Source organism: Homo sapiens, chromosome 20 (assembly GCF_000001405.40).
Source record: "Homo sapiens chromosome 20, GRCh38.p14 Primary Assembly".
Taxonomy (NCBI): Eukaryota; Metazoa; Chordata; class Mammalia; order Primates; family Hominidae; genus Homo; species Homo sapiens.
Genome location: NC_000020.11, coordinates 53,138,602 through 53,165,688, shown reverse-complemented (window position 1 = coordinate 53,165,688; position 27,087 = coordinate 53,138,602). Strand labels below are relative to the sequence as shown.

The 27,087-nt window shown below is 41.2% G+C and overlaps 1 protein-coding gene across 9 annotated transcripts in view, besides 2 other annotated features; it reads right to left on the bottom strand.

The window, feature by feature from the left end:
- TSHZ2 (teashirt zinc finger homeobox 2) overlaps positions 1 to 27,087 on the bottom strand; it is a 522,973-nt gene that overhangs the window by 329,642 nt on the left and 166,244 nt on the right. The window lies entirely within an intron of this gene.
- Positions 8,150 to 8,269: a silencer, noted in NCBI's record as "silent region_13046". NCBI's record gives its function as "represses an Ori minimal core promoter by ATAC-STARR-seq in GM12878 lymphoblastoid cells {active_cell/tissue: GM12878}" and the evidence as "EXISTENCE:reporter gene assay evidence [ECO:0000049][PMID:35858748]".
- Positions 16,273 to 16,473: a silencer, noted in NCBI's record as "peak4263 fragment used in MPRA reporter construct". NCBI's record gives its function as "represses an SCP1 promoter by STARR-seq MPRAs in K562 erythroleukemia cells {active_cell/tissue: K562}" and the evidence as "EXISTENCE:reporter gene assay evidence [ECO:0000049][PMID:32103011]".

The following is a 27,087-nucleotide window of genomic DNA, read 5'->3' as shown; positions in this document are numbered from 1 at the left end:
GCTGATCTCATTAGTCGCCCAATTGGGCAAGACAGGTTTTAATTGCATGTCAGAAGCTTTATTTTTCTGCCCCAGGCAAACAGTTAACCACATTAGTATAGCACTGACACATTAGAAGTTGGTCAGCAATAAAAAGTGAAAGAGCCACTTTTAGAGACAAGTGAGGTACCTGTCAGTTTTGAGCATTTTCTCCCTAGCATCTGTAGCTACCTGCAGGAGAAAATTTTCAATCGCCACCACGACAATGTGACAAGGTGTAAATAATGCATGGTGCTGTATTTCACAGCTTCATGGTGTGATGTTGGATAATTGATTAGGAAAAGGCTTGAAGGCAGACAAATCTGGTTCAAACATGGCCTGTGTAACTTACTAGTTATTTCCTCAGTTTCCTCATCTGTCAGACAGGAAAAATTAGTGACACTTGCCTCTTTGGGCTGTTACAAAGATTGAATGGGAATGAAATGTTGCAGGTAAAACCTTGCGTCCAAATTTTGACACTTAATAGGCACACTATGAGTGTTAGCTGTTATTATTACTTTTATCCATCCTCATCCATCCATCCACCCATCCATCCATCCATCCATCCATCCATCCACCCTTCCATCCACTCATCTATCCATCGACTCATTCATGCCAGCCTCTGTGACAAGTGTAATGGTTTGCAAGACCACTAGGCAGGGATATTGGAAAGTAGAAGCAGAGATTAAATGAAAGTGGTGATCATATAACCATCAATCAAGGATCCTTGCATCTCAAACAAACATCAATGATATTAGGTCCCTCTAAGCGTGTCCTTTTATGGTAGGCAACATATGTTTATTTTATAGAATTCCTTATGGAAATAATGTTACTATGATTTAAATGTCAGACCCATGGGACATCCTATTTAAAGCCAATGCGTAGGGAAAAGGGGATATTGTTAGGAAGGCGAAAGCTTCAGTGTCTCAAACTTCAACTGCTTTCTTCTATAGAAGGCTAGTATTTCATTTAATCCTTCAGAACAGTGCAGTTCAATATAGTAGTCACTAACTCCATGTGGGCATTTAAAATAAAATAAAATTCAAAAAATAACTAGTTTCTTAGTTGCACTAGCTAACAGGGCCCAGCAGCCACAGATGCCTAGTGCTACTAGTGTAGACATACAGATAGAGGGTATTTCCATCATCACAGAAAGTTCTATTGGACAGCACTTCTTCTAGTTAATTAATATTTAGTTCCTTATCTCAGTATTTCAACCCCTATGTATATTCCTTTTTTTTTTTTAAGAAAGGTGACCAGGAAAATGATCTCTTTCTTTTAATAGTTGTAAACTATGAAATATTTTGCCTATCAAATTGTCAATAATCAAAATAAAAGGCAAAGGTGAGATGAAGTAGACATTGACCTGCATTTCTGGTAGTAGTGTATTGATTAATCTCTCCTACTGGGGAGAAGTTGTGTAATAAAAATCCAGAGAAATACAAATATTCTTACCCTTTGATCCAGTAATCCAAGCTGATTCCTAATCCTAAAACTAATTCCAATCTATTTTAGGATAATAGCTAAAAAAAAAATAGAAGCTCTACATAAAAAGATGTTCACCACAGTGGTGTTTATAGTACAAAAAACAGAACAAAGTAAATGTCCTGTAATAAAGGAGAGATTAAATAAGCAATAAATAAGTATAAATACTCCTACTTGATGATGTTACATAAACATGGTTATTACAATATAATATAACCACTTGATAAGATGCTTATGACATAATTAATGGAGAAAACCAGAATAAAAAATTATATTAGTTATCAATTGCTGTGTAACATATTATTCAAAAATCCAGCAACTAACAACAACAAACATTTATTATCTCACAGTTTCTGTGGTTTAGGAAACTAGAAGGGGCTTAGCTCAGTGAATCTGATTCAGAATCTCTCACCAGGTTGCAGTCAAGCCACTGGGAATGAAGAGTCCACTCCTAAGTTAACTCATGTAGTTTTTGGCAAGTGATTTCTGGCAGGCTTGTGGACTGCCTAGTGACGCCTTCAGTATCTCACCAAACCACAGGATAGCCCACACCACAGCTACTGGCTGTCCCCCAGCGTGAGTGATTCAAGAGACAGCATTGGGAGATATACCTAATGCTAGATGACACATTAGTGGGTGCAGCGCACCAGCATGGCACATGTATACATATGTAACTAACCTGCACAATGTGCACATGTACCCTAAAACTTAGAGTATAATAAAAAAAAATAAAATAAAATAAAATAAAATAAAAGGCTCTTCTTGAGCTACTGTGGCACCAAAGATGCCCTGAAACCTCAAAAAAAAAAAAAAAAAAAAAAAAAAGAGACAGAGAGCGTGCGTGCACTTAAGATGGAAGCCACCATCTTTTTATAACCTAATCTTGGAAGTGACATCCCAATATGTTTGCCATATTCTGTTTACTAGAGGAGGGTAAGTCCATCCACTTTCAAGAGGATAAAATCACACAAGGACAGGGATCTCAGCAGGTGGGGACCATCACACCTCCTGGGTGTGACGCCTATCACACAAATCATAGGTACAATATAGTCACATCATTTGAAACAATAAAAAAGTTGGGTTCAGTATTTAAAAGAGGAGCAGAGAGGCCGATAGACAGGAAACAGAATGGATCTTCCTCTGTATAGTAGGACTATGGAGGAAATTGTTTTCCTACATTCTTTTCAGTACTTTCTAATAGTAAACTTTTTAAAAACAATTATTATGATGGAAACACTCAATAAAAGTTATTGAATTGGAAATAAACTGGTTAAAAGTAAGTAGATGTTATATTTATAACTGACGAAGGTCATTTTAAACCTGCTTCCAACTCTGAAATTAACTTTCTTATTTTCTCCCCCTCCCCCGCTTTGTAAAGAAAACAATCAGCAGATGTCTCTGCAGTTAATAGTTAGAATGTGCAAGGTAACAGCATTAGAAAGCTACATCTCTGCCTCTATACCCACTTTTCCTGGAGCATAGCCCCTCCTTTCCCATGCAACACCCCCACTAATGAATTCCCAGAGTACCCTGTATTTTAACATCTACAAGGACAAGGAAGGCAGGATTGATGGCCCTGCAGTCACGTCCTGGGCTGACACTGGCAGTGGAAGGTAACTCATGCTTAGCACTTGACGTAATTTTTTGATGACTGAAACCTGATCCCATCGACCGATCCCCTAGTGGCTGATCTCATCTCTTTACCATCAGAGAAACTGAAGTCGAGTTACCAGGAAAGATACAAAAGAGGAAGCGAGTGGGCAACGTCTCAGCATAGAAAGGAGTAAGCTTGTGTTTGATCTTTTGTCCAAAGAACATTCCTAATTCTCACAAATGGGATGGCCGAACCCAAAACATTGCGGCAGCCAGTCCTTCCCTCCCCGCCCCATCCCTGGCCGGGCCAAATTCTTCTGAGCTGGGTGTCCGTGAAGTTCTTTAGAGGAAACTACAAGTTTGTTATTTTTTTCCTTCAGTTGTGATTTTGAGGCGAGTCTCTTTTATTTATAAAATTGAGAAGAAAAGAATAATGCAATCCACAAAACACTCTTGGAAGGGTTAGAAAAATAAACATCATAAACAATGGCAATAAAAATGAGCCTTTAATGAGTATTTTGAGCCAGGAACTGGAGGCAGATGACAAGGGTTGAGGTTCAGATTTGCCATATAGTCACTATGTGACTCCAAACAAGTTGCTTTTCCTCCCTAAGCCTCACTTTACTAATCTGAGAAGTGATAATAATTGTACCCATTCATTGGTGAAGATTAAAGGAAAAGGACCTAAGGTGGATATACAGTGCCTGAGATATAGTAATTGTTTATAGAAGTGTGATATTTCTCTACTCTAACTCAAATAATATCACTCATTTACTTAAAACCCTATGATATGGTTTGGTTCTGTGGCCCCACCCAAATATCACCTGGAATTATAATCTCCACGTGTTGAGGCAGGTACCTGGTGGGAGGTGATGGTATCATGCGGGCGGATTCCTTCATGCTGTTCTCATGATAGTGAGTTGAGTTCTCACAACATCTGATGGGTTTATAAGTGTTTGGCAGTTCCTCTTTCGCTTGTACTCTCTTTTCCTGCTGCCTTATGAAGAAGTTACTTGATTCTCCTTTGCCTTCTGCCATGACTGTAAGTTTCCTGAGGCCTACCCAGCCATGCAGAACTGTGAGTCAATTACATCTCTTTCCTTTATAAATTACCCAGTCTCAGGTAGTATTTTTATAGAACTGTGAAAACGGACTACTACACATGTAAGGCTTTCTATCACAGAGAATGAAATTAAAACTCCTTACCATGAGCTACAAAGCCCTGTCTCATCAGTCTGAGTGCTCCCCGTCATGTTCACCCTCCTCCCACCCATGGGTCTTTCCTCCAACCCTGTGGCACACCTCTTTTGCTCTCACCTCAGGATCTTTGCACTGCCTAGAACACTCATTCCGCAGACATTCATTTGGCTGGGTTTTTCCTCAATAATGAGCTCTCAAGTCAAATACCACTCCATCAGATAGCCTTGCATTACCTCCTATTTTTTTTTTTTTTTTTTTTTTTGCTGAAAATAACCAGAGTTGGTTTCTGTCATGTACAATCAAAGGAGTCTAATGGAACCAAGTAGCAATGTTCTCGAAAACAAACAAACAAAAAACCCCAAACATTTTGCTGTTTCTTTCCCCTCTGTATTTGCTAACTTTATCATGACTTTATTCTTAAAGCCTATCACTGGTCTGCTTTTATTAATAGATTAGTGGAAATTTTCACCTGGCCTATTAGCACCTTATAAAGAAATAGATTAAGAGTAGGGAATATATAGATGAAGATGTACATTCAAAGAAGATGGGCCTATGGTGAGCAAAAGAAAAATGTTTCCAGAGGTGTAGTTTGCCACATGGTTCATCTAGAAAGGGCAAACTGAAATGTCTTTTTTTTTTTTTTTTTTGGAGACAGAGTCTTGCCCTGTCACCCAGGCTGCAGTGCAGTGGCACAATCTCAGCTCACTGCAACCTCCACCTCCCGGGTTTAAGAGATTCTCATGCCTTAGGTGTGCACCACCATGCCAAGTTAATTTTTGTATTTTTAGTAGGGACAGGGTTTTGTCATGTTGGTCAGGCTGGTCTTGAACTCCTGGTCTCAAGTGATCTGTCTACCTCAGCCTCCCAAAGTGCTGGAATTACAGGCATGAGCCACTGCCCCCGGCCCTGAAAATGTCTGTCTTATTACTGCACTTGTGCATGCTTTACTTGGCTCCAGCAATACTGTAAATGCCTGAACTGAACAACAGATGATTATGGAACACAGAGAAGAGATACTTTGCACGACTAGGGATTAGACTCGGCATAGCCATAAGGGATTTGATGTGGACTCCTGAACCCATGAAGGTGAAAGATCATCCCATAAAAAACTACCACCCCCTTTAGCCCTTTCAATGTTTTCCATTTTCTTAGGATGGAGAATAACTCTTTAACATGAAATTCTTAGCCCAGTATGGTCAGAGATACCTGCCTCCCCAATCTCCTCTCTCCCATGTGCCCCTCCTGCATTCTGTTCTTCAGACATACAGGCATCTTGCTTTGAATTTCCTAGGGCCTACTATGTGCCCTCCTACCACTGGGCCTTTTCATATGTGGACCCTCCCTTCTGGGATGATGGACTTCCCTCTCCTCTTCACCTGCTCATCATTCAGCTCCTACCTCAAACACAACGTCCTCAGGAAAGCCTCCTCCAACTTCCCTGACTAGTCAAATTTTATAATTATTTGACTAACAACTGTGTCTATCACCAGAGGTGAGCAATGTTCAGGCAAGAAAAATGTCAGATTTGCTCAGCATGGAACATGCTGTTGCTATTACAGGTACTGGCTTAGTATGGTATAGACATTAAATAAATATTTGTCAAATGAATGAAAAAAATGAATGAATAAATTTACTGTCAGAATCAACTGAAAGAATAAAGTCATAAGAGCAATTCCTATTTTGAACAATAGAAAACTTATTGACTTTGGTCACTTAAGTGTTTTCCTGTTTTTTTTTTTTAACTCCTGTTTTTTAAATCATTCATTGAAAAAACATTTATTTCTCTTTAACTGACATTTTGTTGCAGTCATGGGAAGAATAGACATTATGTGTGTTCCATGAACTATAACTTATTCTCTTTGATGTACTTCATTTTTTTTTCTATCTAGAACATGGGTTGGCAAACTTTTTCTATAAAGGGCCTGATAATAAATATTTCAGGCTTTGAGGGTCACATGGTCTCTGTAGCACCTACTCAATTCTGCCATTATAGTACAGAAGCTGCCACAGACAATACGTCAACAAATAAGAGTGGCTGTGTGCCAATAAAACTTTATTTCCAAAAACAGATGTTGGGCTGGACTTGGCCCATGAGCTGTACTTTGCTGACTCCACTATAGAGGATGAGGAAAAGACAAAAACACAGGCTCAGCCTGGCATTTAACTCTGGAAACTAGGGTGGTACATTCCCTGCCTTGCTTTATGAACTTTGGCACATCAATTGATCTCTCTGGGACTCAGTTTACTTAGGATTAAAATGAGATAATGGTCATAACAAAGCATGGTTGTGAGGGTAAGAGGCTGTCAAATAAATGAGCTGGAATTCGACAACCTTGTTTTGTACCTATCGTATTTGTTTTCATGTTTACTTTCTATCTGTCGTCAGTTCTGCTAATTTTCCCTGTATAGTTATGAAATAAAATTTCTTTTAAAAATAAATGTAATGAAGGAAAAGAGGGAGAGTCAATGTAAAGAATGTTTTAAGGTTTAAAGAAAGATTGTTGTGGCTTTTGTGTGCAAAGTGGGCAGGTGAGGCAAAGACCAGCCAGGGAGGCCATGGGAGAAACTACTACAGGAAGTCTGGGTGTGCACCCATGGTGGCCTGGAACAGGCGGTGGTGATGAAGGAGGGATTTAGCTTGTCCCTCCATGGTTGGGGAGGGGGTGGTCCTTGAGGGCCACGACATTATCACAGCTGGAGCGTTCCAGGGCCCGACACTCTGACAGGCAATGAGGCAGGGTCTTGGAAATGGATGTTGATAGAGTAAAAACAGGAGCCACTTTCTGGGGATATTGAGATCATCTCATTTAAAGGACACGCCACTTACTCTGTCCTTCTTAGTGTCCTGTTCTCCCACTGATAGGCTCAAACTTCAAAAATTAACCCACAATCCAACCATTTCTCACAACCTCCACCACTATCAGCCCACCACTATCAGCCCAGCCACAGCCACTACCGACTGCCACAGCCCTGTCCTGCCTGCCTGCTCCCAGCTCACCCCCACCACGGTCCATCCACCGGTGTGCAGTCAACCTGCTCACAGGTAAGTCAGATGATGCTTTTCTCCTGCCCCAAACCTTCTAGCCTCATCCATTACTCTTCCAGTGAAATCCAAAGTCCTTATGAAGTCCCATAGGTTCTGCACAGTCTGCCCCCTGGTGGCCTCTTCCACTTTTGCCTTCCTCATTCGGCTCCAGACATCCGGGTCTCCTTGCTGTCTCTAAAGCCCATGGTGACTTCCGGGTCTTGGCTGTTTTCTTCCACCTGGGACACTGTTCCCTCCACGGCCCCACAGCTTCCTTCCTCACTTCATTCAGATCTTGTTCAAATATCGCCTCCTCAAATGAGATCTTCCTTGACTAATCCACCCAAGGCAGCAGCAATTCACAATCCCCCACTCAAATTTCTCAGTTTCTCTCTGTATGACAGTGTTCACTACCTGAAATTCATTGGTTTGTGGCTGTGACTGCCCACCACTCTTTCCCTTTAGAGTATAACCTTCTTGAGGTCAGGAACCTTTACTACTCTTTATTGCGACCCCCAAATGCCTAGGAAACATAAAGTAGGTATTTAATGTATGTGAGTTGAATAAATAAATAAATACATGAAGAACACTCAAGGAACCATCCATTCATCTCTCCCTCTCTCTAAAAGCAGAAGTAAATCAGTTTCATTATCAAATAGAGTAAATATGTTGAGATGCATTACTATACATAACACTAGTTTCACTTGGTGTTAACCAAACAACTTTATCTAGTGCTTCCTATAGCAAAGCAGAAATTTTCATGATGAGAATACTTTCTTTAAAAATACCAATTCGGGGCGTGGCATGGTAGTGCGCACCTGTAGTCTTAGTTACTCAGAAGGCTAAAGCATGAGGATTGCTTGAGCCCAGGAGTTTCAGACTGCAGTGAGCTACAATCATGCCACTGCACTCCAGCCTGGACAACAGAGCAAGATCCTGTCTCTAAAAAAAAAAAAAAAAACCAACTCAATGTTGGAGGATAGAACAGGTTTGTTCAACAGAACATTAGTAAAATGAATTTATAGAGAGTTCCAGAAAACTGCCAAAGGAAGTAATTCTGTTCAAACCCACTGGAGACACTGATAAAAGGTAGAATCCTTAAACACAATCAGAGTGTTTTACGCCCATAAGGATCTAAGCTCTAAAAAAAATTGTTCCTAGAATTACTAAATTTCAAGCATAATTGAGAAATTAGCTTCTTTGCTCATAGAGGGTAAGATTCTAGCTGTACTGAAAATTGAGTAGAGGTAGATGTTTGGAGGAGTTTCAAAGGGCAGATACGAAAGCAGGACTTGCAGTTTTCACACATGCAGTAATAAAGCTTGCATGTGATGCCAGGAGTCACAGGTAATTAGATGGCACAAGCAGCTGAAAGGTCTAATGTTTCTCTGCTTAATAAAGCTCTGCACCTTCTTGCTTAACTTCTCTTAGGCAGATAGAAGTCGTGAGATGGTATCTGTCCCCAGAGATAGAGATGACACTCAGGTCATTTCAACAGCTCTTATTTCCCCCTACCTACAGAAACGTTATCTTATAATCTTTGACTGCCTTTAGAATATAACCTATTGGGGAAATGAAGTAGGCCAGAAAAAAAATTAAGAAAAAGTATTAATTCAGCACAGTGTAGAAATCACGACATTTGGTCTTTCATCCTGAAATGTAGGACAAACTTGAGCAATTCTTTTCTTTCTGGGCTACACAAGCCTCAGTCGTCTCTGAATCATGGGAGTTTGCCCTTCATGATGAGATCTGGGTTTTAGTCCTGACATTTGCTGGATGGGTAACCTTGGGAAAATCACTGAACTGGTTTGAGCTTCTTCTTAGGTTAAAGAGTGATAAGCTTTGCTCTGCTTGTTTCACAAGGTCATTATGAGGTTTAAGTGAGATGGTGCATACAAAAGTGCTCTCCTTCTGGAATGTGTGACTTGAATGTAAAAGGATAGGGTTCTCAGGACTGCAAACCCAAGTGCCCATGTGACCCAAGCCAATAAGATAACCAAAGAAGGCCCACTGAGTTGCCATCCTTCCAGGCAGACACCATCATTTTGTGTATATAAGTGTAGGAAGATTCTTTTCTTCCACAGAGACATATGTTTTCTTAAATTTTGCTTAAAATTCACTGACCCTCTTCAACTAGCTTTTTTGGCCCATTGCTGATAGAGATATGGGTAAAAAGAAACATTACCATGATGAAATTTAGAGTGCAAGAACAATAAAAATGGTAAAGGATACGTGGGTCTGGCTAATTAGAGACAACAGAGAATGGTGAGGACTGTGGCAAGCTGGAGAGCTTGCACACTCTCAGCTGCAGCCCCTTGTTCCCAGGAGAAAATGAGACTCTTGGGGTCAGGTTTCTAACTTCTGAAAAGAAACAGGCATTTAGAGACATATGTAAAACCTCCTTATATTTAATTAGCCAATACCTAATTAAAGTTTTAAAAAATATTAGAGAAACATCCAGGGGTGGTATTGTCTTGTAGGCTACAAGTTTGTGACCCAGACAGCCAGTGATGGAATGTTTTCTCATTAACTTAAAACAGGATCATGTCTTAATTGTCTTTTGAGGCCAATGTAGAGTCTATCACAACATTGAGATCTACCAGGTAACCCATCTCCTGAAATGAAATGTGCAAAATTCCCTAGTAAGCGGGGTTTTAAAACCTTTTGTAATTTTTCCTGGGCCCAGGTCCTAAAAAGTGAAGTCATTTTCAGAGTGGGTCTTCCCAAAGTGGGAAGATATTGTGCATTGAGTTTTCCCTCAATCTTCAGTGATCTGTCCCGGGTATCTTCTGCTTGCCCTGTACATTAATTCTGCACCCTCCTTCCCAGACCTGTGCCCTGGGAGACTGTCCCTGATATATCCCCTCAATGAGATCCTCTGTCCTCTGGCTACCCCTGGAGTTTGCCCAAAGGGGATGGGCAGGTGGGAGGAGGAAAGGCGGGAATATATATCCCACGGGTTCCTTTTGACCAGGTTACCATGAGTCCTATGTTCGTCTACCAAAGGTTCCTTTCTGACACCAGTCTCAGGTCACTGAACTATCCCTTCTTGGTTTCTTAAACACCACTCCTACCTTTTCATTGTCTTTTTATTAAACTCTTCCCCTATTACCTACTGGGGTAGGTCAGGTGTTCCCTGCCTGGTCAAACAATTGATACAATAATACTTCATAGGGAGGGTCCAGTTCCGGATCAGAATCACAGGTGAGCTACCCACGCAGTCCTCATGGAAGCACTCAGGAAATATTTGCCAGAAAAAGAGATTAACCTTTATGTAGTTCCTGACAAAACTAAAAAAAAAAAAAAAAAAAAAAATGCATATTCAAACACCTGTCTTAGAAGAAACAAAAGTCTCACACATATTAACTATTTTTTTTTCAACTTACATCGAGGTGACAGGCATCTTTTATACAGAAGGTAATATTTAGATGTCATAATTTCTAGTGGGGCAGAAGAACTAATTAAATGCATGTCAATAATGATAATGATGATGGCATAAGCAAAGGATAGTTTTTGGTTGCTGATTATTCGGGAGATACTATGCTATGTGCTTTATATAGATTGTCTCAGTGACAGCTCACAAAATTTGGAGGGAGCTACACTTCTATACTCACTTTATAGATAAGAACCTTGAGGTTTTAGAGATGTTCACTGACTCAGAATCATACGGGAAGTGTGTGACTCAAGCCCAGCTCTCATAGTTACCTCTAGATTTCAGTGCATTCAGATTTCAAAGACAGGAGTGGTCAATGAGGGCTGGAGTAGTCCAGAAAGAAAAGTATTGATGAACTTCATCATATATTTCAGAAATTGATTTTTGAATCAAAAATCTCTGGGCCACACTGTTTGGATCCTTCAACTGGGCAAGAGAGGGCACCCGCAGTGGTTGTGCATGGAAGGTCACAGTTCTTGCTATGCCAGGAAGTTGACGAGAAGCTGGGAGACCTAATTTTATTATTTGTTATTTTTATTTTACTGCTGAAACAAATTTTGTTCATGGGAAAAGACACTTATTTCTAATGAATCATACATAGGAGCAATGTTAAAAAAACATTTACTTCTTAAAAAAATTTTTTTTGGTCACTTAGGTCATTCCCCTTTCCTAACAAAACTAAAGTTTTGGGGGAGTTGCTACTTACTCCCCATTAGATGTAGCCTGATAAAGCTCTTTTTCAAGTCCCCTGTTCTAGTCCCCTAGCCAGTATGACTGATTGCTGGTAAATTGGCCTTGTTTGTATGCACACATTTTGCCATGTGACTGCGAAGCTCTGTCTGTTAAAAGATAGCATTTATTTTTCCATTGCTTAAGTTGGGCTGGCCTTTTGACTTACTTTGTCCAATGGAATGCAATAGAAGTAAGCACAGTACAGTTCTGAGACTAGATCACAAGGACTTACAGGCTTTTGCTCTTACAACTCTGCTACCACCATGGGAACAAGCCTAGGTTAGCCTGCTGGAGGATGAGAGACCTTATGAGAGGAGCTGAACCATCTTATCTAAGGCCACGCAAGACCAGCCAGTCATCAGCTGAGTCTAGCCAAAATTATTGACCTGCAGGACCACGGACTAAATAAGTGGTCCCTGTTTTAAGCTGCTGAGTTTTGGAATGGTTTTTTAATGCAGCAAAAGCTAATGGCTCCAGTTGGGCAAACTGGACACTCTTTTCATGAAATTTGCATCTTGACCATAGAAGACAAGAAAATGAGGAAATTTGAAGAGCAATTCATTTAGTCCAGTGGTGGGACCTCAACAAACTGGTCTGCAGTTTCTACTTTCTAGACTCAGGGTCTGTTCTGACATTGAACCATTTCTAAGATTAGTCCTCCACCTTTCACATCCATTCTGTGAGTTACTGGTAACCCTGCAAGGAATTTCCTTTTTGTTTAAGTTACCAAGTCAGTTGATCCTGCTTGCAGTCCAAGAACTGTAACATCCCAATATACAATTTGATGTGGTCATCTACAGCCTTGACCAAGCAGGAGAGGGACAGGGTGGCACATGCAACTTTTGAAGTAATACCTGGTGACAGGGACCTCTTGCCTAGCACTCTCTAGGCCACTGCCTGCTTTGGCCACACTGCAGGAACAGTCCTGCTCTTTGAGCTCTGATAGAATCCCAGGCTGGGGACATTTATGCTTGCCTCGCTACAGAGCTATAGGATGTGTCAGGGGCTATGGTCACAGCAGATATTCTTTTCTCTCTTATCAACTTCCTAATAGGTCAGCTGATTTTGGTTCCATGCGGCTGCATAGGATGTCCTGATTGTGTTATGGGTGATTTCATTTTTGAAAAGGCATTCTGAGGCATGATGGATTCTGGACCTGGGCACATGCTGCTCCCTTTCCCTGGAATATCCCTATCAACCTCTCTCCCACACCACCCTCTACTCATTCCTCTGTCAGCTTTGAACACTTTCTCTGAGTGTTCTTTCCTGCCTGCACAGGACTGGGGTAGGCAATTCTTCTCTGGGTCCTCAAAGCCCCTGGTAGCATCACACCATGTTATAAATGTAATTATGTTTACTTGAATATCTCTCCCTCTCTGCTGTAGTTCCCTGAGTTTCTGGGCTTATGCTTTTATCATTTCACCTGTCATTCCAATCAGACAAAAAATAAAACCATAGGTGTCAGACATAATTTCATATTTCAGCAGAGTGATATTGGTCAATCAACTCATTAAATCTTTCTAGGTGTTGGAGGGCCAGATCCAATCTAGATACCTGACCTGTCTTGGTTGTCCTACATAGGGTTAATAAATGACAACAGTTAAATCTTGTGAGACTGCATGGCTGAATTTCTAGCTTCTCTCAAAAGATCTGATTGGCCACCCCTGGTCTGTGTTTCTGTGTGGCAACAACCAGTAGAGCAACAGCCATTCAGCCATTCAGAATCAGGGTCAGGATTAGGGTCAGGGTTAGAATAAGGGTCAAGCTCAGGGTCAGGATAAAGGTCAGGGTTAGGCTGAGAGTCAGGGTTAGGGTCAAGATTAGGGTGAAGGTCAGGGTTAAAGTTAGGGTGAGGGTCAGGGTCAGAATTTGGGTTAGCCCCAGTGAGCCCTGTGTAGAAACTGTGTAAGCTCCTAAGTCACCTGAGTTCCCTGGCTCACCTCTGAGACTGCAGTGGATTGGATCTAAGCTCCTTAATGCTTTTTTACTTTCACAGTCAAGAAAGTGAAAAAAAAATGTTGCCAATCAAACTATTGTACAATGAAGAATGGAGGATGCATCCTAACTTCAGGGATGTTGTAATGTGAAAAATGTATATCTTAGGATTTTAGTACATGGTACCTGCGTGGCTCTGGCAGAAATCAGAGTTTGTCAACCTTGGACCAGATGATGCTTCCCATTTTACAGCAACCTTGCCCTCGAGTTCAGTTCTAAACAGAAGAGAATCTTTGTATTTACTTCCAACCGTCTTGTATTGCTTAGTATTTTATAAAGGCATTAATTATAATGAAATATATTCATACATATTATTTTGTATGTATCTTGATATATATCATGCTTCATCTCACATTATGCTAAAGAATAATCACCAATGGTATCCATATGTATCAATTATGACCAATATAAAATTTAAAAATAACTTGAAGGCTGTAGTTATTAGAAAGGCCATGAGGTGATAGTAACATTTACCCTAGTTCACAATCCCTTATCTTTGATTCCCAAAATCCTAAAAGCTCTGAATACCAAAAGTTTTTTTAAACTTATTTTCTGTGATTCATGTAGCAGAAAAATCTATTGAACTTTTTAAAGCTTAAAAAAATCTCATTTAGTAATCCTAATGCTTCATTGCAGAAATATTTATATTTTTACATACAAGATGCTATTCCTCACCTTCCTTCCTGAAGATATTATCTACTACATGGTATATGTACCATATTCTCTTTCTAAGATCTGGAAAACTCTGAACTGTAAAACACATCTGCCTCAAAGAATTTTGGTTGAGGAATTTGTAGATTTGTATAAATATAGACACTAGCCCTCCCAGCTAGGAAAGACTAGTCCAGAGTCAAAGTAAGTTTTCTCTAAGCTTTAGCTACACCCATTAGCCGAGGCTTGATATTATGCATTATTTCTTTACTTAGTCCATTCTTGATCCATCTCAGCGAATAGGCACCAGTATAATAGGACATTGTTCCTTAATAGGGATGGGCTTGTTATGTACCCAGCTCCCAATTCTATCTCTTATGACTCTAACCACAGAGGGAGAAAAATAGTGATAGAAAAAACATACTGCATGCACCTTCTGTTTTAACAGGAATGTGCTGTCAAGAGAGCGTGATATGATAAGGCCTTAAATACATTGATGCTCTAACAATGTGTTGAGAATGGGAAAGGTAACATTTAATAAGCATGTTAGGGTAATTAGTTAAGTCACTTGTCAATTAACTAGATTACCTAATAGCTAATTTGTCTCTCCAAGCAGCAGGCTTTGTGGAAAGGCAGTCAAGGAAAACTTATTTTGAAAGGATGGCCTTCCCACGTAAGTATACCTAAGCCAGCCCAATTTCAGTGTTTCTGTTGGCCTCAGAGCTCCACTGGTGAGGATCTTAGTTTTCTTATTTGCTTTTAAATGAAGTCCCTTCCTTTTCTTCTCTTTTTAAGATCTTCTCCTTCCTTCCTTTCTTCCCTCCTTCTTTTTCTTTTCCTCCTTTCCTTCCTTCCTCTCCTCCTTCCTTCCTTTTTCCTTTCTTCTTTCTCTTTCTTTCCTTCTTTTTTTTAAAAAACTTTTATTTTATTTTATTTTATTTTCCTGTAGTTGATTTTACCTTAGATTAGAAGCCACCAACACTCCCTGTGAAGGACCAGCTAGTAAATATTTTAGGCTTTGCAAGACAAGAGACTAAATTGAGGATATGTGCAGGTACTTATGTAACAAAAGAGAAAACAGATTTTTACAAAATTTTTCAACCATTTATGTGAAAATTCTTTCTAGTTTGCCAGCTATATAAAAACAGGTTTCAGGTGGGATTTGACTCACTGGCTGTAGTTTGCAGATCCCTGGTTTGCATCATCACTAAATTGTTAATTTCCTAAATCAGCATGGTTAGATTTGCAATCTGGAAGTTATCAAAATCATCTGGCCTCCCCACTGTGTTCATCATTCACCCTCCCAATAAGAGGCTAAAAGCATAGACTCCAGACCCCAACTATCCAGATTTGAATCCCAGCTTTGCCAAGAAGTGTGCAACCTTGGATAAGTTACTTAACCTCTCTGTGCTTCAATGACACCATCCCCAAAACAGAAATAGCGATCTCATAGGATTGCTATGAAGATTACAGTGAGGTGTATAAGTAAAACATTTACCGCAGTGTCCGGCACATAGGCAGAACTATGAAAGTGTTAACTTCTTTTTATTACTTTAATGGCACAGGGAGTAGAATAAGGAACACTTCCCCTTTGCAATGAAATGATAAGCAGACTCTATTCCCTGATCCCTGGAGATCCATTTGGTGACGGACTTCATGCCAAGAGGAGAGAAGCTGCAAGGAGATATTCTTGGGCATTTTCCGAGCGTGCTTATGCAAACAGGATGCTGTAAATGTCTCTTTGGAGAAGGAGCCTGCCAGCAGGTCTCAGTTTTGCCTCGTGATTTATTGGGACCCTCTGCTTTTGTTCAAATAGGTTTTCCTGCCTCAGCTCTTCAATGATTGGACTGCAAGTCATGCCCTGTATAGTACCAAGTCTGTCTCCATGCCCTACATAATATGTGATGAGAAGAAGTGCTATTAAAGAGGTTTCCTGTTACGGTCTCCTCATTGGCACCATGAGCTGAGCGGAAATCTCTGAAGGACTTATTTAGCATGCACACACTAGAACTGAACTAAAGCAGATCCTTGCATTGGCAGCTCAAGAACTTTAAATGCCCCTGGCAGAAACTCCTCCTCTCTTTCCTCCCCCTCTTTCTCTCACTCCCTTTTGATGTTCTCTCTTTCTTTTAGCCTATCGTTGACAGTAAGTGCAATCACATTACACACAGCTTTCTTTGGAAAGCCCCCTTTTTAATGATCTGGCAGACACTGAGCCCTTCCAGAAAAAAAATTTCAATCCCTCTTCCCACAGCTTCCGCAAGCCCCAGTGACAAATGACACCTGTCATTCTGTCACAGACAAGCAGCACAGACAGGGATGTCAGTGATGTATGGCTCACCAGCAGAGGAAATCAACTTTAAAAAAAAAAAAAAAACCCTAAAAGAGCTGACCAGTACATTGTCAGGATCCTGCTCCCAAGGCCTCGCCTAACAGACAGACTGGAAGAGAGACAGAAAAAGTTTCAGCTTGAGGGGGAAGAATGTATAAGATCAAAACACAGAAATATTTATCTACGGAGAAACTGGCATCAAGTAAGCCACAGATTGCTTTGCATTGTTTATTTCTTTGCAGTGCTCTGGATATTAGCCAAATTCTCACCTCCTCCTGTGATTTATGGAGGAAAAGGTTGATTCCTGCTCTGTGAGAATTCTCTTTCTGGAGCCTCTGAAAAAAAGTGAGTCAACCCGAGCTTTGTTTGTTAAGCCTAAATTACCCCATTTTACACTGAGTCCAATGAAAAGCAATAAAATTTCCAATAACCCCCAAGGGATTCCCTCCATACAAAGACTGTACCCTGAAGATTAATAACCTGCCTTTTATGTTGATGGCAATCTCAGAAAAGATTGGGAGATGTCTTCATTTTCTTTATCTATATATTTTTTCTATTTTGTATCAACCCCCACCCCATGATCCATACATATTGAATGCAAAAACTTTTTTTTTCTTTCAATCAAAACCACTGCACTTAGATCCACTTGGGGTCCTGATTTAATAGGCAAACTCAGCCACATTCTCAAATTGAATATGAGCATCTACAGGGTGTCAGGCCTGTACTATATCCAGAACAAGAAATTAAGAAATAGAAAGCAAAATTCTTCCTATGCAGGATTTCTCATCTTCAACACTATTGAGGTTCGAAGCTGGATCACTCTGTGTGGTGGGCGGTGTCCTGTGCACTGTGGGAAGCTTAGCAGCAACTCTCGCCTCTACACGCTAGATGCTAACAGCTTCCCCACCCTAGTTGTTTCAATAAAAAGTGTCCCAGACAATGCAGAATGTGCCCTGAGAAATGAAGTTGCCCCAGTTGAGAACCACTGTTCTAGACATTTGAGATCAAATCCCCAAAGAGAAATAACATTCATGTGATCAATTGAAGTTCGTAGATAATTAAACACTAAATAGTACGATATAGAAAATATTAGCTGTAGGAATTTAGAGACTTTCCAAAAGACACATTTGTATTTATCAGGTTTGTGCAAATGCCTCTATTTTAAGCTGTGTAACAACAACACAAATCTTGTTATAAGACATAGACCCACTGGCCGGGCATGGTGGCTCACGCCTGTAATCCCAGCACTTTAGGTGGCTGAGGCGGGCAGATCGCAAGGTCAGGAATTCAAACCAGCCTGACCAACATGGTGAAACCCCAGCTCTACTAAAAATACAAAAGTTAGCCAGGCGTGGTGGTGCATGCCTATAATCCCAACTACTCAGGAGGCTGAGGCAGGAGAGTCACTTGAACCCAGGAGGTGGAGGTTGCAGTGAGCAGAGATGGCACCACTGCACACCAGACTGGGCAACAGAATGAGACTCTGTCTCAAAACAAAACAAAACAAAACAAAATAGACCCACCACTTATTTTATGCATGTCTTATGCATAGATATGATGGAACTGAATATTGGTTTAAAACAAACAAAAAGAAATCTTAGTCTCACACAAATCACATTAATACCACAGTGATATGGCAACCAACAATCAAAAATTTCTTTTCTAATGATATTATGACATGACATTATTAAAGCTTTGAAAAATATTGAATTAGTATTCATTAAACAATATTATTAAATCTTTGTGAACATTTAAGTTTCTAGACTGGATTGAAGAAGGTAGGACTACAATTAAACTTTTGTGTCTATGCCTTTTTTGTAGATGATAGCACAAAACTGTTAACATACAAATCTTCAAAATGGAGTTTATACAGAGATATTAAAGACATTCTTTGACCTACTGAAAGAAAAGGGGATGAAAAGAAAGCTGAGCCCAGTTTCCAGGCACCATGTATAATATCTAAGGTTGTCACCCATCAATTGTCACTAAAAGAGATCAAAGTTAATTTAGAAGAGACAGATAGATTTATCCATGTATAAAGCCAATAATGAGAGTCACATGAGGAAACAAAAAATATGTAATAAGCTGAGTTGAGATCACAAAGAATAAAAAACAAAAAGCATGTAATTAATACATTGGGCACAAAATCAACCTTAGCATCAAAATGGAAGAAGAAGACATCAATGAATTAAGAATTACAGGCCACTGAAATGTAGCTATTCCCATCAACTGAAAAAATAACATCAAATGCTTTATAAATACTAACTGGTTAATCTTCAGAATTATAAGGTCAATGGTTCAGGTGGTTGTTGCAGTTATTAATACGGGTCCTGAAACTACTTTCATAAAGATCTTAAAAATGAGAGTACCTATCCTTCACGCCCGCCTCGCTCCTCTACCTCCCTGCAAATCAGCTGGTGGAATTTGTTCCTCACTGTATTGGTTTCTATCTTGGTCACCTTAAGACAGACTATTCTTTGTTCACACAACACTGACTTGCCTACCAATGGGGAGCCTAATAAAATTTTATGCTGTTATAGGACTTTTCTGTGTCATCTTCACCTCCTGGTCTTGCATCATGTTGAGGGCAATTACACATTTATTTATTACACATCCTCAAATATAAAACCACGAAAACTATACCAAAGACAGCAGCTTTTCAATCATCCATCAAGATATACCAGTTTCAAAAGACAATCCTGAGCCACATCCTGAAGGTCATTACTCACGCGCGAAAGCTCATTTCAAAGGCCTCCTTCATCTCTTGATATTGTCAGATAGTGTGTGTGCCAAAGTGCTGCTTGGGGATCTCAATAGCTCCATGTTATCTCTCTCTGGGCATGATTAGTGTGAGGTGCGGGCACCAATTTAGGCTCCGTCTACACAATGCCAAAACAGTCCAAGAAGAAATGAAACCATCCATCACACCACTGGTGGTTTTAGCTACATGATGCCAAATTGTGTTGACTCATCCGCCCCCTGCCCCACAACTGCATTCACTGATGATTTGAGTTCACTTTGAGTATCTGACAATGAATCTGCTTAATATACTAGATATGAAATGGACCACAAAGACAACATGGTCTTTACTAAATCAAACTCTAAAATTCATCTGTATTCCACAAGCTCTGCACCCCTCAGCACAGGCTATTTCCCTCCCACCATGCTCTTGCCTAGACCAATATATTTGAGTGCCTGGATCCACCCTTTCCTGAAGCTTCAAGGTTTTCTCCTAGACGTTTTAGTATTGTGAGCCAACATGATTTTCCCCAACTCTTAAGTTTTTTCTCAAATCAGACAGCAGTCCAAGTGCTTTCTATTTATTACCATTCAGTCATTACAACTGTGCTAGGAGGCAAGGGCCACAATTATCCATGCTAGAGTTCTTCTGTGCCTTGTGCGTATTTCCTAGGCATGTACCTCTCCCTCCCAAGCATTCTTCTGGGATTACCTGTGCTTCTCTGGTTAAGGGCAATTGTCTGGCTGTTCCCATACAGGGCAAGCTGGAAATGCTGGAGAATAATGCCCCTAGAAGCTTCCAAGCAATGACAGATGAAGATTTGGTTAAAAACTACCCCAGCATCCTTAGCCCTCATTGGGATAACTCTGAGGTGTGTGTTCTACACTCTCTTCTAGAATTCCCCAGCACAAGGAAGCTCCTGCTGCCCACTGGGCTGTCAGGCTGGATAACTCACCCTTCATTAACATCCTTCCCTTCCTGTCTTATGGCCCCACTCTGCTATTAGGGTTTCCCAGGATCAACAACCAAAGAAAGAATGTGTACTCAAATTCTTGATACAAGGTGTCATTCTCGGGGAACACAAATGAAGACAGCACATTTGTACAGATAAGGAAAGAAAAACAGAGGCCCTATTATCTTGTGCAGGAAAAGAGAGTGGGTCTGCCATTTTGACACCAATGCATGGGATTTCTATCAGGCCCTGGTCCTCCTCCAACTCTCTTTCTTCAAAAGAAAGTGATGTTCCTCACCACCCACCATGTCCTGATCAGAGGAACCATGGGAGAAATTTCTCTTGGACTTGTCTTGAGAGACAGGCATGGGCTTTGAACCTTGGGATGAGGCGAACATTATAACTCTTCACCTGTTTTTCTTGTGCTGTATCTTTCAGGATCCTCAGGCCCAAATTTTCACTCCAATTTTAGTTGAATACATTCTTGTGGAATTACATTTCTCCCTGCTTCATTTTATTGTTTTAACAAAATTTAATTTTGCCGTTGTTTCCTCTCTCATCTTCTTTTAATAAACATTGTTGGTGTGAATTATTATATCTGGACTCAATTCTTTGAAGAGAAAGTTTTAAAAAATACTTAGGCTACATATATATCTGCATTGTATTTTATATATTATTATATATATATTTAATTCATCTTTCATACATTTTAATACATGTAATACTATTTAGTGGCATGAATCTTGAGTCAGTGTGTTTACCCATATAACCTCATAGTACGAGGAACATAGTATATATAGTATTTGGAGCACAGCTCCGGAGTCAGACTGTGTGGGTTCAAATCTCAACTCCATGAATATTATGGGTTGTTAGACAAGTTATTTACCATCTCTGTGCCCCAGTTTTCTCAGTGGAATAATAATAATACCTAATAATATAGGGCTGTTGTAGGGATTCATGGAGTTAAAACATATACAGTGATTAAACCATAACTGGCAGATAGCAAACATTGTATAAGCGTTTGCTGTTATTACTACTGAAACCCTCCTTGCAAAAATTGTAACTGAGAAAATTATTACAGTGAAACAGATCTGACCTAACTGACTCCATCTTGCTTGTAACCTCCAAGCTGTCATTGTTCATTCCTGGGCATAGGCTGAACCAACTTTGGGAGGAACTTAGTTTATAGCTTACCTTTGAAATAAAGACGATAACAGCCCTTTCCCAAAACAAATCCCCTTCCTGTCTGGGCACTAGACTGCCTTTGCAGGACTAACAAATTAGCCACAAGGTTAGAAACTATGGTTTAGGAGTCATGCGGCTGGAGGCTGCAAGATTCTAAACTTCCCAATTTGCTCCTCAGGATAACATCACTATTGTAAAACCTAAGATCAGTGCTTGAGGTATTATGCAGACCCTGCACTCAGTGGATCAGCTGGTACCACCCAGATGGATAAACTGGCTCATCTGGTCTTGTGGCCTCCACCCAGAAACTGACTTAGTGCAAGAGTACAGTTTCAACTCCATATGATTTCATTTCCAAACTTATCAATCAGCACTCCCCATTTTTCAACCTCCTACCCACCAAATTATCCTTAAAAACTCCAATCCCTGAGTTTTCAGGGAGACTGGTTTGAATAACAATAAAACTCCGGGCTCCCATACAGCCAGCTCTGCGTGAATTAAACTATTTCTCTATTGCCACTCTCCTGTCTTGATAAATCGGCTGTGTCTAGGCAGTGGGCAAGGAGAACCCACTGGGAGGCTACATTACAAGGCAACTCTAAGTCAAGATTATTACAATTATTATTATTATTATTTATTTATTTATTTATTTTTTTGAGACGGAGTCTTGCTCTGTTGCCCAGGCTGGAGTGCAGTGGCACGATCTTGGCTCACTGCAAGCTCTTCCTCCCGTGTTCACGCCATTCTCCTGCCTCAGCCTCCCGAGTAGCTGGGACTACAGGTGCCCGCCACCATGCCCGGCTAATTTTTGTATTTTTAGTAGAGACGGGGTTTCACTGTGTTAGCCAGGATGGTCTCGATCTTCTGACCTTGTGATCCGCCCACCTCGGCCTCCCAAAGTGCTGGGATTAAAGGCGTGAGCCACCGCGCCCGGCCTATTACAATTATTTTTTGTGAAGAATGTGTTTCTCAGGGGCATGGGGAGTTGGCCCAACAGAAAATCATAGCCAAGTTTACCTTCCGGCTGTCAGCCATAGTGTGCCCTAAACTTTTCAGAAGTTTCCACATAGGAAACTGTGAATATCAGAATTTAGTAAACGTGGTATTTTCTGGGGCAAAGGAGTGAGTCTTCTGTAGAAGCCTGTCGGGGTCTGTGAGTAAATGTTTCTTGTGCCTTCACTCCTACAGGCCCCTTAATAAATTCTAGCTTAAATAGATGTGTTTTCAATTCGAATAGTATTTACATATGCCTCATCTGGTAAACTGCACTCACACACACACAAAATGGACTGAGGAGAAAAGCTCCTACACACTTGTCTTAAGTGTTGCAAAGCAGCGGGTCACGTCAGCGCCGGATTAAGCAAAGTTACTCAATGCGATCTGACACAGTTCAAGCAATGCAATGTGACAGGACACCAGCAAGTAAGCAAAAAACACGCTATTTTTGGCCCAAGTGCTCATTATCGTCTTACATGCAATGGGCTGATTTGTGATAGTATTAAGCAGAGCATTTTTTTTTTTTTTCATCTTAATACTGTTACCGGCTTGTGGGTGGGTTTAGAGGACCTCTCAATGGCCTGGCCTCTCCAGGGTTTTCTGGAATTTTAATCTTTTGAATGCACTCTGCAAATGAGTAGGCCACACCCTCAGTAGTTCAGCTCAGAGGCTGCCAATGTATAACAACTTTTCAAAATGAAATGCAAGCATTAGACAAAGCAGGCTGTTGTTCTGAACTTGATCAGAATATCTGAACATGTGTGCTGACTGGTTCAGGTAACATAGCCCCACTTTTTCTCTAGAGAACATCCTCTGGCCTTATCTTCCTTCCTGTGCTTGTATTGGAACTCATCACGTGACTCAGACCTAACCAATCAAAACATAGCCTACCTCTGACCACAGTGATTGGCTAAAGCCTGTACATGTGACCTGGTGGGACCAATGAGACTTAATTAGCCTTTTTCCTCCTGGGCATTTGGAAGAGAAGCACGTGGCCTTCTGTTCTCCTGTTCTTCCGGTCTGAACCGGAAGCCCTGTGGAGCTGCTGGGGGCAGGACAGGATCTGAGAGTGTAGCTAATACAGAGGAAGGAGGACCCTAGGAAGAGAGTGAAACAAAATTACCTTAACCCTTGCACCTGGCCTGAAGGTCGTTTCCCCTGTACTCTTCAATCACATGAGCCAGTTAACTATCTTTCTTCTCCTTTATCTCTTTCCTTAAGTCATTTTGAGGTGAGTTTTCTGTCATGGGCAACAACAAAAACAACAACAAACAACAAAAAATCTTGACTTAGGATGGTATTGAAAAGTCCATGGCCACAAAAGATGAGTGTGGTCTTAAAACTTCCAAGCAGAGCCCCCCACCACCGTCCCTGACATCCACTTGCTTCCTGCCCACAGATGGAGGTGAAGCCCACAGGTTTCCAGCTGGTGCCTGGTGGCTGTTGTGGGAAGGGCGACCTCAGCGTTGGGCTCCCATCAACACTTCTCCCCGGTGATGGAGGCACTGTGGCTTACTCAGCCCTTAGCGCCTATCAGCAGGAACACTTCATCACACTGACAAGCTGATATGCTAAATGAATAAGTGCAAGGCACAGCGAGGTCACCCAGAAGTTAACTGAGGGGATTGCAGGAAACAGTAGACACACTCCACCAGGGAGGGCCCGGATAGGTGCAGGAAAGGTGACAAACAGCACCCAGGCCCTGTGCCCCTTGGCCATACACCCCATTACAGCCCTGACAGCTGAGTTCTAAACAGTTAAATATGAAACTGTCAACAAGGCCTTGTCTTAATAACCAAACTTGAGGCCTTTTATCTGGGAAGATTTATGAAGTAATTTTAAAGAGATCCAAGCAAACATCTGTCAATAAATTGAATGCCGGCTACAGGATTTACAAGCAAGACAAGAATTTCTCATTAAGTGCACATTAACACGGTGGGGATCATAAATAGAAGGAGGCCAGGATGCGGAGCCTCTCAAGCTGTCATTAAAACACTATCTAAGAACTAATGAGGAAGTGATGGAAGGATACTAATGATGCCCTGGGCTCCCAGCCTTCGCCAGTCTGAAAAAGGGCCATGAAGAATCAGACAACTCTGGAGGCTGGCTGCTGGCCTGGGGTGGCTCCTTGGAGCTCATTTTGCTGTCTGCTCAGGAGCTATAGGTGTCCTCCATCCACCGAGGGACAGCAGTGGTACCCACGTGGCTCACTGCACCATCCCTATCAATGGAGTTAAATTCCCAGAACCTCCTTGGTGGTCAGCTTCTGATGGTCTCAAACACTTAACAAATATTCCCATACCGCCTACCTCATTTAAGATGCTGTGCTAAATAATGTTTCCACAGTGCAAGGAGGAACCTCCAGAAAGTTCTCTGTGGCTAAAGCATGCCTTTGAAATGCAAGACACACAAAGCTTCATTTTTGATTGATAGGCAAGATACGGGTTTGGGAAAGACCCTGGAGTACCTGCTGTCCACACCGTCCCTCAACTCACCCCTTCCCTGGACAGATTCTACCTGGCATGCTTTGCCCCCAAAGCTCTCCCTCTTCCCAGAGTGATGCACAGATCAGAACCACCAACGGCAGAAGGTCTGGGAAGCCTGAGGAGTGGTAAGACTGGAAACGTGCAAAGGTCAGCGGGAAGCTTGTTTGGGTCATGAGATAATACAGATCTGGTTGGGTACCTGGCAAGGCCAGGGAATATAGCCATGGGGGTCAGAATCAGAAATTAAACCAAGAAACCACTGACTCTGTGACTGAGGTTCAGGTCTTCGTGACTGTCCCTCTTTTTTTTTTTTTTTTTTTTTTTTTGAGACGGAGTCTTGCTCTGTCACCCAGGCTGGAGTGCAGTGGCGTGATCTCAGCTCACTGCAAACTCCGCCTCCCGGGTTCATGCCATTCTCCTGCCTCAGCCTCCTGAGTAGCTGGGACTACAGGCGCCTGCCACCTCGCCTGGCTAATTTTTTGTATTTTTAGTAGAGACAGGGTTTCACCGTGTTAGCCAGGATGGTCCCGATCTCCTGACCTCGTGATCTGCCCGCCTCAGCCTCCCAAAGTGCTGGGATTACAGGCGCGAGCCACCGTGCCTGGCCCCTCTATCTTTTAAATATAATGCTATATTCTATTAACATATTTTAGTATATCATATTATATATATTGCATATTTATTTATGTACATATTATTCCCTTTTTTCTTCTTTTTGTCTTTCTCCCCACTACAGTAAACTTTTTATGAGGGTAAAAGCTGTTCTGTCTTGTTCAACACTGTGCACTGAGAGCCTAGAACAGTACCTTTGCATAGCGTAGGTGCTCAGTAAATATTTGTCGAACGAATTAATGAAGGACTGAGAAAATTAAGATCCAGTGAGGCAAAAAAACGGCCAGATAAAAAGTACATGCATGAGTGAACATAAAGAGGATGGGATTAGAGAAGTTCTGTAGCGAAGTCCTAAAATGATTAAATGCTGAGAAACATGCAAAAAAGCTTCTTAGGGCAGCTATCACTGATAGGTATGGTTTAGTGTGAATCCTAATAAACAGTCGAATGGATTCAGGACTGGACATAAAATGATAAAAGGGACCAGAAAAAGAGAACCAAGTTTTTTGCACATAGCATTTATTATCATTAGGAGTGTAAACATCATGATAAATTATTGTAAATGATAATAGCACTTTTGAGGCCTTGCCATGTGCCAGCCACTCTGCTAGCCCTCTATCTGACACGAAAGATTCCACTTTTGATCACTGCCACTTAAAAGCAAAATGCTGGCCAGTAACACAGAATTAGATTGATTTGTATTGGGAGGACAGTGGGAATTCAGGGAATGAAGGAAAGTACTCCAGGCTGGCAGCTGGTACCACAGCAGGGCAGAGTAAACGCAGGGCAAATACTTTTTAAAGAAAGGGCTTGCTTTGAAGGGGCCTTCTGTGGGAGGTTTCCCACCTCACCTTGCCCAGTCTCTTTCTTCAAGGAAAAATCGAGATAGTCTGGTGGCCACATAAATTCATGGAATATGTATTTAGATGCCATTTATTCAGGAAATAACAAGTACTTACTATAAACCAGACCCTGTACTAGCAGGTGATACTGCAATGAACAAAATAGCCTTAGTCTCTGCTCTGGTGAAACCGAGAATCTGGTGGGGAGGAGAGGCAGAGAGCAAGCAGTTATAGTAAGTCTTGTGAGTGTTATGTGAAGGCATCTGTGCAGCTGTGTCACCATTTGCTAAGGGTAAATGTTTCAGAGTAATTTAAAGAAGAAAAGATAGTTGTGGTTAAGTAGCTTGAGAAACACTGTCAGAACAACTTTCTCAGACCCACTTAGCAGGGAGGATGGTGTATTGTGATTAATTCCTTTTGTCAGATTAGTTGTGTGTGAGACCTCCCTGTCCTGTAGACACCCTTGAATCTGCCTTGATTCACTCAGCTATTCATTTCCTCATTTGTTCAGAAAATGTTTGAGCCCTTCTCTGTGCACCATGCCCACCGCTGGTCAATAGAGACAGAGACTTGGGCACAGCCCTGTGGGATTCCTTAGTGCTGGGGATTGAAGGAAACACCTACTGAAACAGCCAGAACATCAGGTGTTGAATGTTACCAGCAGAGTGTAGCAGCTCAGAGGCCTGGTGAATTCCACCTGAGGGACTTAGAGAAGGGTTCTCAAAGTTTGGCACATGTAAACTGGGTTTTGAAGTATATATAGAAGTCCATCAGGTAGAAAAATACAATCTAGAATAGATAAAAGGAACA